Source organism: Homo sapiens, chromosome 11 (assembly GCF_000001405.40).
Source record: "Homo sapiens chromosome 11, GRCh38.p14 Primary Assembly".
In the NCBI taxonomy this organism is placed as follows: domain Eukaryota; kingdom Metazoa; phylum Chordata; class Mammalia; order Primates; family Hominidae; genus Homo; species Homo sapiens.
The window spans coordinates 27,894,496-27,907,888 of NC_000011.10; positions in this window are offsets into that span (position 1 = coordinate 27,894,496).

Below are 13,393 nucleotides of genomic sequence, written 5' to 3' on the forward strand. Positions count from 1 at the left end.
ATGAACTATAGTAATATGAAAAAAATTGGATGAATCTTAGCAATATATTTTTATGTTTATTTTTGTTTTGTTTATTTTGAAACCATCTCAAACTTACAGAAAAGTTGCAAGTACGGTACAAATGCCATTTTTTTCTGACCCATTTGAGAATAAGTTGCCAATCTGCTGCTCCATCACCCATGAATACTTTAGGATATATTTTCTACATACAAGGGCATTCTCTTACATAACCACAATACAACCGTCAAAATCAGGAAATTGCGTTAATATTCAACCACTACGTAACTCTCAAACTTCATTTAAGTTTTGTCAGTTGTTCCAAAAATACCTTTCAGAGCATAAGAGTCTGGTTCAGAATTGCACTTTGCATTTGCTTGTCATGTCCTTTTAGTCTCCTTCATTTGGAGCAGTTCTTCAATTTTTCTTTGACTTTCATGACCTTTACATTTTTTGGAGATTACACAAGAGTTATTTCATAGACTGTCCCTCAGTGTGGGACTTTGGTCTGCTGAGTCTCATGATTAGATTGAAGTTACGTATTTTTGCCAAGGATATCCCAGAAGCAATGCTGTGTTCTTTTCATTGCATCCTATCGAGCACATGATTTTGATTTGTCCCATTACTGATGAGGTTCACTTTGCTCCCTTGATTAAAATGGTGTCTGCCAGCCTTCTCTACTGTGAAGTTACCCTTTTCCCCTTTAGCAATATGATTTTAAATAAAAGTAGGAAGCCCAGAGATTATAACCCTTTTATGAAGTTAAAAATAACTAATTTTTAAAAAATGCTTATTAGGAATAAATATACATGAGATAAAACCACATAGAAAAGCAAAGGAATGACAAACACAGAATTCACGTTGGCAAATACATCACATGGAAGGAGGTATGAAGAAGGAAGAAGGAATACATGAGTATATGCAAGTTATTCCAAAGTTCCTGGTGTCTATGTTGGGTGGTGAATTCATATATTGTTTAAAAATCGACAAGGTAAAAAAGAAAAGAAGGCCATGCTTGGACCAATGCAAGAGTGACTTGAGAACCATGGATTATGATTAATTCTATGTGCTTAGGGTCTAATAACAAAACTGAACAGATTGTTTGATAGGTTGGTAGTGTAGAGATACCAGAGAGTGAAAGAGAAGAACTTCTAAAATCACTCCAATAACCACTGTCCCCAGCCCCAACCATACTTTTCTACTTTCTGGGTCATGGCTAACTGGTATGAGCCCAGAGAATGACTGTACAGAGTCAACAAAGCTACTAAAGCTTAGAATATTTTCATAATAAAATATAGGAAAATTTATCTCCTTCCTGGAGCAATTTTGTATCCCCAGAACATTTGCATTTTTCCAACTTCATTTCCCTCTTGCAAGAACACATGTGAACTTCGCATCCCTCTACCTCTTCCAGTCCCTGGCTCTTGCTTGTATGGGTTTAGCACAGTTGACACAGACAGGTCTTTATTGGAAAAAGTCCTGGGTTCTAATCCCAGTTGCATCTATAGTTGCTGAATGACCCAAGGCAAATTATTTTCTTTCCATGGGCCTCAATTTATTCAGTTGGTATTATACACCCTCTTCTTTGCCACATACATTCTGACTTAGTAGATCTGGGTATAGCCTAGGCAGGTACATTTTTAAAAAGCTACTCAAGCAGGAATCACTGTGCTTGTTGACCTCTGTATCTCATTCACACACCAAGGTTCTTACTGTAATGCTTTAATGCTTTTGTTTTTCTGGGAGTTTCACTCTGTGGTTGATACTCATTGGGCTGGGTCTTTCTCTGGGAAATGGCCATATCCCACAGAGATAGGAAGCCAAATTTCTGCCCTGCAAATCTCACCCTTTGTTGTAGCCAATTTGTCTGGGAGTTGTCACCTGACTCAAAATAGGTCAATTATAGCCACTTTCCTAGAAATTTGGAAGTGGGATAAAGAAATTCCAGTCTCACTCTAGTCATTCCCATGAGTCTCAAGGGAGATTTCTGCATTGTAACACTGAGTAACAGAGAAAAGTTTCAGAAAAAAGTTGATGCACTGAAAGAAGAGGAGATGGGAGATGAGAAGTGCATGCTGAGTTCTCCATTGTTTTTGATTTATTGGTTCCATTCCCTATAGATGCCTGACTTTCTTCCTACCTTTGGATACATGAGATAATGAGACAATAAAGTCTTCTTTATTTTGCTTAAGTTGCCTCCTTAGAGATAATTTGCATAGTGCATGGTCTCTCCTGCTCGGCTTTCATCCTGGACAGGAAGAATTTCATTTAGCCTAATGGGCTATACAGACTTAATAGCTATAGTTAGAAAACAAACAGCTGACCTGGGGCATGAGGGCAGGGAAATCAGAGGGATGTAAAAGTGAGCTAAAATCCTTAGCTTGTCAGGGGGAGATCGAAATGTATTAATTCTACACATTAGAAACGTGTATTTGAGTAGGTACGGTAAAATGTTCAAGATAACCAGTAGAAAGATGGACATAAAATGTATACTTTTCAAATAAGTACAGTAAAACAAAAGTAAAAGAGTTTTAGACCTTTTGATAGTATATAGCTCCCCATTAGAGAAACACAAACAGAAATATGAAGACTCCTTCAATGAAAAGAGCAATGATATCAAATCAATAACAAGATTGACATGTTTGCCCTACTGAATTTACAAGCAAAAAAACAAACAAACAAAAATGTTAATGTCCAATGTTACCTAGAGTATGGAGAAATAAACTCCTGGTGTGTATATATATTGTTACAATATTTCTAGAAGGGAAATTTGACAACATTTGCCAAAAACCATGATTTACATAATGTACTTTAACTTTTAACCTCAAAATTCCACTTTTAGGAATGTTTCCTAAAGAAATAATTAAGAATATAATTTAAAGTATTTATTCTAGCATGAATAATATTAAAATAATCAAAATGTTCCAAATTATAATATTGTTACAGTAAATCATGCTACTTTCATACTTCAGAATTGTATGTAGTCATTATCCATTATAATGTAAGTTAGCATTTTATTAGCATCAAAAGCAAAGACATTCATAATGGCATAAGAAATAGCAAGATGCAAAGCAAGTGTACTGAGTTGTTATAAATTAACATATATCTCTATATACATAGAAAAAAAATGTGGGGAAGGGTTCAGACCATGGTATTAAGTGATATGTTTTTCTTTCAGTAATAAGCTTTGCATTAGTTCGTTCTCACACTGCTATGAAGAAATACCCAACATTGGGTAATTTATAAAGAAAAGAGGTTTAATTGACTCACAGTTCCACATGGCTGGGGAGGCCTCAGGAAAATTATAATCATGGCAGAAGGCACCTCTTCACAGGATGGCAGGAGAGAGAATGAGGGCCAAGTGAAGGGGGAAGCCTCTTAGAAAACCATCAGGTCTCATGAGAACTCACTCACTATCATGAGAACAACATGGGGGAAACTGTCCCCATGATTCAGTTATCTCCACCTGGTCCTGCCCTTGACATGTGGGGATTATTATAATTCAAGGTGAGATTTGGGTGGGAACATAGAGCCAAGCCATATCAAGCTTGATGTTCATTTTCTTCTTTTTGATTGTGTTTCACAGTGGCACCTTTTATGATAATAATACCTTTTTCAATAGTTTAGACTTAGAGTTGACCCAGAGCTTTCATACTCATGATGCCATTTGAGCTGTGTAACACTGCAGGGAGTTCAAGAGGGAAAATACTATCACCATCTACTCTTACTCACAAGAAAATGGACAGAGTTAGTAAGGAGCAAAACTGGCATTAATCACCAGGTCTTCTTCCTCTAGGGCCAGTACTCTCCCCACTGCCCCATGAGAGAATAGCACAATAGTATGCCTAAACTCTCAACAGTTAAGCAAATTGAAACATCAATACATATGACACATTAAATACATATAAGTCTGTGGACACAATAGGAAAGAATGCTAATTAAGAACAAAAGAAAACCACAAGGCATATACATAGGATTTGTAGCTGTATAAAAAAAGTATGGATACACACACACACACACACACACACATACGTTGGGGAGGTCACAATCGTCTTGGAAATATACTTATAGGAATACTAAGAGAGTTTGGCATTTTGTGTGTAAAATTTTGGAAATACATTACTTTCAAAGTGGGCAGTGTAGGTAGAACTAAGTTTTGCCAAACACATGGGCAAGTCAGAGGATAAGAAATCAGATAAAATTAAATACAAGGAAGGGCAAGGGATTGGAATGAAGCATGAGGGCAGGGTGGCCAATTGTTCTTGTTCTCCCTGGACAGAGCAGTTTTCTGGAACCAGGGATTTCAGTGCTAAAACTGGGAAAGCCCTGAGCAAAATGGGACAAGTTGGTCCCCCTACCATGCAGGAGAAGAGGGAAGAGGTTGAGGCAGGTTTCAAAAATTCAGAAAGCCAGCAAAAACAGAGTGAGCAGGACAGAAACCTGAAAAAAGAGCCTGTGCTCTTCTTTTAACCTTATTTGAGGAGGCAAAGATTTGCTGGCTGCTGCTAGAGGGAGAGAGCACTATTTCATAACTGGACTCCAGACTTAATTTACAGTAGAACTCAGCAGTTGAAAGCTGTTGAATTGGGCATCTGATGACCTGGATTTACAACTTGGCTCACCACTCTCTGGCTAAGTGACCTGGGGCAAGTTCCCTGACCTCTTTGCTTAAATGTCCTCATCTTTAAAGTGGAAATAATTGTAATCCCACCATATAAAGTTATAATGAGTATTGAATGAGATAATGCTTGTATGTATAATGCCTGACACCTATCAGCTCCCAAAATGTTAACTGTTGTTATTAATACAATCACTCCTAACCTGGAAGCAACAATAGGCTGAATGGGGTCTGTGGTCATTTGCATTTACTACCTAGGCACTAAAGTCATTCCGTATTAATCAATGGTCTTCTAATTTATGCAACCAACAAACATATGAAAAAAAGCTCAACATCACTGATCACTAGAGAAATGCAAATCAAAACCACAATAATGAGATAACATCTCACACCAGTCAGATGGTGATTATTGAAAAAAAAACAAGAAACAACAGATGCTGGCGAGGCTGTGGAGAAATAGAAAGACTTTTACACTGTTGGTGGAAATCTAAATTAGTTCAACCATTGTGGAAGACAGTGTGGTAATTCCTTAAAGATCTAGAACCAGAAATACCATTGACCCAGCAATCCCATTACTGGGTATATACCCAAAGGAATATAAATTATTCTATCACAAAGATAAATGCACTTGTATGTTCATTGCAGCACTATATGCAATGGCAAAGATATGGAATCAACCCAAATGCCCATCAGTGATAGACTGGATAAAGAAAATGTGGTACATATACACCATGGAATACTATATAACCATAAAAAGGAACAAGATCATGTCCTTTGCAGGGACGTGGATGGAGCTGGAACCATTATCCTCAGCAAACTAACATAAGAACAGAAAACCAAACACTGCATGTTCTCACTTATAAGTGGGAACTGAACAATGTGAACACATAAACACAAGGAGGGGAGCAATACTGACACTGGGGCCTGTCAGGAGGGTCTGGCGGGGGGGCAGCATCAGGAAAAATAGCTAATGCATGCTGTGCTTAATACCTAGGTGATGGGTTGATAGCTGCAGCAAACCACCATGGCACACATTTACCTGTGTAACAAACCTGCACATCCTGCACATGTACCCCAGAACTTAAAATAAGAGAATGAAAAAAATAAAATGAAATAAAGTTGTAAAAAATATGTGAATAAAAAAAGAGAAAAGAAAATTGTCTTCTAATTTCCAGTTCTTATCCCAACTACTTCTGATCCTGCTCACAATTTACACCCACCTGTCTATCTTGCCACCTCCTCCATGCCAGGGTCTTTCTCCACACTTCTTCCCTTAAAACAGTTTGCAAGGTTCATTCCCTTCGAAGATACTATTGTATCCCTTTCCCTTGAAAGAATCCACCATCTCCAGGGAATACATTTCTGTATTGTTAGCAAGGACCTTCTAGAGACAGAATATTTCAAATGAGAGGCACCATGGGGTTTGCAAATTATGCTTTCTAGGCCCTTCCACTCATACTCCAGACCTTTCCACTTTTACCCTGCGATGACTAGGAAGAAGGCTGGTCATGCTTACGCTGCCTGAGACTTGGTCTGCAGGGGGCCTGAGAGATGGAACGGGACCATAATTAGGTAACCAATTGGACAAGTGCTTGGCAAGTATAACTAGGAGTGGAGGGATGGGCCTAGAAGTAGGAAAAGGGAGCTAATTTCTGAGTTCATCTCTGGGAACCTCAAGCCACAGCAGTTTTTTATTTTTGGAACGTCCCAATCTCAGTTGTCAATGTTATATTACCTGTGGAAACAGATAAGCAAGCAATAAATAGCCCTGTGGATTTTGTTGTAGAAGTCAGATTGCCTTTGGGGTTACATGGGGGCATTTCCAGAGAATTTCCCATGAACATTGCTCAGGCAAATACTGACAACTGGGAAATGCTAAAGCTGGATAATGCAAGTAGAAAACAAGACAAAATCCTCCTGGTCTTACATGGTGTTGAAACAAATTCCATCAAGCATTATTATAACGGGAACTTTCCCTGCTAAGTCTCAGTCCTCGCTCTTAAAGTCAAATAGCACTATCTAAATTTCCAAAGAGCTTTCATTCAACCATTTGTTCAGACATTTATTAAGGTGTTGGGTTGGCACTGGGGTATCTAGGGATCATTGAGACACTGTCCTTTCCCTGGAGGAGCTCACAGTCTAATGTGGGAGAGAGATAAGTAAACAGGTCATTATTATTAAAACTATACACTAAAGGTCTGGTAACATTGAAGAAGGGGTGGCTGTGACAGGCCTAGGGAAATGGATTGAGGTTTTTAAGGAAAGTTTTTCAGGGAGGAGATTGTTGAACCAAACTTCAAATTGGGGTGTGTTAGTGAAGAGTAGGGGATGCTGTAAGAGGAGATGCCTTTAAGAGAGACCCAGAGCATTGTCGACAAACCATGCATAAATTATACATGGGGAAGATAAGGGTAGAGAGATTGGAGTGGAACATGTAGAGTTATGTAAGGCAAGCAAAGGACTGTGTACTTTTTTCTTTAGATCATAAATAGCCATTGAAGAGTTTTGTACAGAAAAGATTTATCTTGGGAAGCTTGCTCTGGCAACACTGTGGAAGATGAATTTTATGGAGGTAAAGCTGGAGTTAAGATCAGTTAGGAGGCTCTTGCAATAGTCAAAAATACCAAAAGCCTAAACTATGGCAATGTCAGTAGACATGAAAGAGCAGTGTCATTTGAAAATATATAATAATAATATTAATAATAATCATGAGCGCAAACAATTTCATAGTACTCACTATAAGCTAGGCACTATTCTAATGTTCACAACAAACCTTTGAGGGAGGTGCTATTATAATCATTTTACAGGTAATGAAATTAAAACCAATGAGGTTAAGAAATTTGCCCAAGGTCATTTCCTTTTGAGGTGGATTATCCCAGGTGACCTAGGGCCAGGAGGTGGGAATATGATTGTACCTGCAGTTAAAGCTTCATTATCTTGGCATGAATTAACCATGTGAAGGCCCAATACAGTTCTTTGGATAAGATGATTAGTTAAGGTGTATAAGACAGGGTTCACTCAGGGAAACACAGCTACTGTAAGTAATACAGAAATTAGAGATTCATTATAGAAACTGGTTCCTATACAAATGTGGAAGGAGCTGGGGAAGTGAAGGTCTGGAGAGAGGGAGGCTCAGAGAAACAGTCTAGTGCAGACTGTTTCTAAAGACCTGGTGCAAATGGCCACTTGGAGCTTGCAGGATAATCCTACAAGCAGGTCTGGCTGCTTAAGTGGGACCACAAAGTGGGAGCTTGCAGGGAGGTGTCTGTGGAAACTGCTGCTTCTGGGGTAGCTGTTGGCTCTGCATAGTTGCTGCCTCTGTGGGTCTGCTGGTGGACCTGGGGCAGTTGTTGGTCAGCAGGCCTAGCAGTCATGAAGATGAGCTAGACACAAAGTGGAGGCAAGCAAGAACAAGCTGGCACCCACTTAGCACTCCTGCATCTGTTCCTTTGTCACCATGTCTAACTGTGATGACCTTCTGAAAACAATGTCTTCTGTTTCATCTCCGCCCTCCAAATTTCACACCAGTTCCTCTACTGGCAAACAATGACCCAGCCATACAGGGAAGAGTGTCCTGGGAAACATGGCTTCCAGCCTTAGCCAAGTTGACCAAACACACAGCGCGTCATGGACTGGGAGGGAAAGTAGAGCTTTGCTCTAGCAGAGGCCTCTTGAGGATACTGCAATGTGCAACATTGTAGCATTGCGGTAGTGACTAAAGGAAGCATTAAGGGGCGCTACGTAAGACGTGTGGAAGGATTAGCCTATGACAGGAGAATGGATTCTGAATTCTTAGAAGAAGGGGAGGTGGCAAGGATGCATGTGACCATTGACACCTTCATAGGTGGAAGGGAGGGAGGAAGTTATACAGCCTTTTGGAGGGGAGGAGAACTAAATTAATGGGGAATGGAGCAACCAGTAAGTAAAATGAATTCCTTTAAATTATCTGTGAGGCCAGAAAAGAGAATGGTGTGGCTGTAAGAGGGATCCTGTAACTCAAAAGCGTGTGACTACAGACTGAGTAATTGAATAAAGACTGAGAGTTTGGTTGCTAAGAGCAACATGGACAAGGAAAAGCACAGTTTTTACTGATCTGGAAAAAGAGCTTTTGCAACACAAGGTGTGATTCAGTGCAGGGAAGGAATTGAATTTTTATCACTTCTGTGTCCAGCACAGTGCTCTATTTGTGTTTGATGAATGGAAGTGAAAAAGTGGCAACAAGGAACTCTGAGAAAGGGGTCCAGCGTGGAGAGCTTCTGATGGACAGCTCACTTGAATTTATAACAACAATTAGATCAATATTTAGAGCAAAGTGTCTCAACCTCAGCATGATTGACATTTTAGACTAGATAATTTTCAGTTGCGGGAAGCTGTTCTGAGCACTGCAGAATGTTTAGCGGCATCTCTAGTCTTTACCCATTAGAAGCTAGTAGCAGTCCCCTAGTTTTAACAACCAAAAATGTCTACAGACATTGCTAAATGTCCCCTGGAGAGCAAAATCACCCCTAGTCGAGAACTAGTGATTTTGAGAGAGGTAGCCAACATATTACCATTTTGTTAAACTAAACTTCCATGGTTCTAGGAGGGACTTGGGGTAAAGATTAAAGGGGTTTTTCTGAAAATAGGAAACAACCTAAATATTCAAGGGAATATTGATCAAATCAATCATGGTACATTTAAATAATAAAATATTATGTAGCCATTAAAAATTATTCTATAAAACTATATTAACATGAAAATATGCTCCAGAATAATTGAAAAAAAAGCATGTATGTGTATCTATGTGTATATATTTGGACTTGGCAAAAAAGCATGAGAGGATGTACACCAAAATGTTCGCAGTAAAAATCTTGGAGGTGAGGGGAGTGTGGGAAGAATGACAGACTTTTAGCCATCTTTCGTTTCTGTATTTTCTACAAGCATACATGATTTTTTTAAAAGGTGGATATGCGGGGAGAGGGATTTGCTACTTCTAGGTCAAAAGGATGGGGTTGGTTTATTTATGTTTGTCTGTTTTTGGTCCTGAAGTTATACGCCAAAGAGGTGCCATAATTTGACCTTTGCTGCAGCTCCTTGAGAAACTTAGTGTGTGGGTTTTTCTGGCAAAATTGAATAAAGCTTGTTTAAAGGCTGGAGAATGGGCAAATTGGGCTGTGCTTGTAAACAACTTCTTCTATCAAGGAGGAGTTGGGATAAGGAACACATCCAGAAGAAGAAGCTGGGAGAAAAGGTACTCGGGACATGGCTTGGAAGACCCCTTCCCACTGATGACCCAATAAAGAGAAATATAGCCTCAGGCTTCTCTTTTGGAACATTCACTCTTGGCGTAAATTTGCTGGAAGCCTCTTCTGAGTAACAGCATCTTATTGGGCTGCATGCATATCTTAAATTACCCACTGGCTCCAGCAAACAGCTCTTTCCCTTCCCCACGGGCCATAACTCTGAAGTGGCAAAGCCTCAGGCTTCAGTGAGTCAGCCCCAGTAGGGCCAGAGAAGAACAAAATGAGGGGAGGGAAGCTGCTCTGGGGGATACTGGGCACCCAAAGCCAGTCAGACTATGGGCAGCTAGGGAGCATGTACCTCTTTTGCAGGACCTTTTGTTTGAGGGGCTCAGGGTGGGGGCCAGAGGGAAGGTAAAGGAAATGAAGAACCCTCTCAAAAGCAACAGAAGTGATTTCTTCTTGTGTATTTATAAAGACAAGTTTTTTAAAAGTGAGATTTGTTTGACAGTGAGTCATCTCCAACATTTGATGGATATGATTCAGATGACCTTCCCTGACAGCATATTCTGAAAATACGGGCTAAAGTTTCCTGATTATTCAGAAACCCTCAAAGAGTTCTAAAAGGCAGCATCATCAACTTGATTTTTTAATCATCCATATTTTTGGTCTTGTTGTTAATAGGTTCAAAGCAAATAATAACAACCCCTGGCTCTTCTGGGAGCAATGGATGCTTACCTAGGACCAGCAATAATTAAGTTGCCATCAGCACAAAGCCTAGAACCAAAGTGAAGTTCAAGAACCCCGAGTTCTAAAACCCATCTTTCAATAATGAACAGGAGACCTGACCTTGAGCAAGGCACCTTACCAAACTGGGTTTTTGTTTGCTTAGATTCGGCATGAGGATAGAATTATGCTAGACAGTGTTAAAGTCCCAACCAGCCTTCCTTGACAGCCCAGTACTCAACAAGGCTAAGTATCTATCCTCTGTGCAACCTTAACATTTTGTGTTTATCTCTTTAATGACACTTATCACCAAATCTCATCATGGCCTCACTGGTCTATAAGCCCTTCAAATACTATAGGCAGAATCACTGCCTTATTCAGCACTGTATTCCTAGAACCTGGAACATTGTCTGCATATAGCAAGTAGTCAATAGACATTTGTTGAAAGAAAGCATGAGTTATCTTAGAGTATTACCATTCCAGTTTTCAGTCTCATTTCTCCACTATTATTTCCTCTGCTTTCTCCTTTTGTCTAGAATAAAAATTCCTACCTGAGCTTTGAGTAACCTTCAAGCCATTTTGGGGAACCAGCTACTTAGACACCTTTTGGTCTCTGAATGAGACCAAAATGAGTCTATTGTTGTGGCTATGAGAATGTGCCTCTCAAATGTCCAACTATGAGAGTATAATCAACTGAGGGCCTAAACTGCTGAGCTCTGAAGTTCATTGCCATGTTTGCTCCAAGGCACTCCTTCCAGTGACTACTTCCAGTCAGTGACTGAGTCTACCAGGGGTACTAGGGCAGACCTGTTCCTAGGAGACATGGATCATCTGATGAGAAACCTTGGCTTGAGGATTCTCTAATGGCCTTGCTGAACTCTCCTTGGAACTTAGAACTAGTCTAAGATGCATCCAACCTCCCTTCCTTCCTTCCTTCCTTCTTCCCACCCTCCTCTTTCCTTCACTTGGGGTCAGATTTACAGCCAATGTAATCCACTGGCTCCCTTTTAACATCTATTTCATAGGCATTTCCCTGAACATATTTTATCTACTTTTATCTTCTCTTCACATCTGCTTTTTGGAGGACCTGGGCTGACACAACCACTTTCTATGAGAATATCCTCTACACCCACTGAATGGGCCTCAAGTGTCTTGTTTGTCTTTCACTCTACTCTTAACAATTTGGACTAGGGTAGATTCATCACATTTTATCTCCAAGGAATTTGAAACTAGGAGTCATAGGTAATAAGTTAGTCTATGTGCATGGCTCTAACTGAGGAAAACAAATGGTAGCCATACGCAGCCATCTTCTGACCATGATGTATTTGGAGATGCAGAGAAAGCCAGTCTGGAAAGAAAGAAAGAAAGAAGGAAAGAGAGAGAGAGAGAGAAAGAAAGAAAGAAAGAAAGAAAGAAAGAAAGAAAGAAAGAAAGAAAGAAAGAAAGAAAGAAAGAAGGCAGGCAGGCAGGCAGGCAGGCAGGCAGACAGGCAGGAAAGAAAGAAAGAAAGAAAGAAAAAAGAGACATAAACTGCAGAGACCTAAAGATAGTACTCCCTGAGCACCTGATAACATTACTGTCCTTTGTTCTAGGTACCCAGATGTCTGGCTGTCCTTAGCTTCTGCAAGATACTTTAGAACCTATCCAATACATTCTATTTTGGGCTTAAGCTATTTTAAATTGAATTCTGTTGCTTGCAATCAGAAGGATCTAGACTGAGAGTCAGCTCTCAGACCTAATGAAGCTTTAGCCACAAAATAAGCCAAATGTTAACATATAACGACAAAAGATAGCTAGTAACTCTCTCCTTAAGAAGAAGCCATGTGTCCTGTCATGATAGTGATCATATAAGTTACCATATATAAATCATATAAAATTATATATGATCTAGCTTATAGATCATATATAAATTATCTAAATTGCAACATTTTTGAGAGTAAAGAGTGGTGCTATTCATAATTGTGCTAAAACTACCAGCTTGATCCAAGACTGTGCTGGATAACCCAGGGCCATTTAGAGTAACACTACCTCCATAAGAAGAGTCAGTTGGCAAAGGAATTAAGGAGGCTGGACACAGTTGTAGTGAAACCCCTTATAGTATCTTATTGAAATTCCAGTTTTCTCTCAAAATAAAAAAAAAGAAGTGTTTTTTGTGTCTTCAATGTGCAGAAGAGAAAACTGAGGTCTAGAAAGCAATGACAAGCCCGAGACCACGCCTCTGATAAGTAGAAGAGCTGGGCTCAAATCCAAGTCTCTGGTCTCCTACTCTAGTGCTCTTTCCTGCATGAAATAGCCCTCAGAAGTATGGATTCTCTTTCAGTGTGATCTCAGGGCTCTTCTGCCTGTCTGAAACACCAGGGCCACTCAGAGCAAATATTCTTAATGAGAATACAGCAGTACCCCCTTATCCATGGGGGATTCTTCCAAGACTTCCAGTGAATGCCAGAAACCACGATACTACCAAACCGTATATACTGTGTTTTCTTCCTATACATCCTACCTATGATAAAGTTTAATTTGTAAATTAGGGACACTAAAAGCTTAACAATAATTACTATTAACATACCATAATAAAAGTTACATGAATGTGGTCTCTTTTTTTTCAAATATTTTATTGCATGTAATATTTTTGGAATGTGGTTGACCACAAGTAACTGAAACCATGTAAAGCAAAACCATAGATAACGGGGACTAGTGTATATTCTGAAAACATTTGTTGGGAGTGTCCTTGTGTCACATAGATTTTATTTTTCCAGAGTTGTTTGCAGCTGTATCTTCCATTCCACATACTATTCTAAAATGCATTCTTTTCACTCTTCCGTTAAGAGGTAGA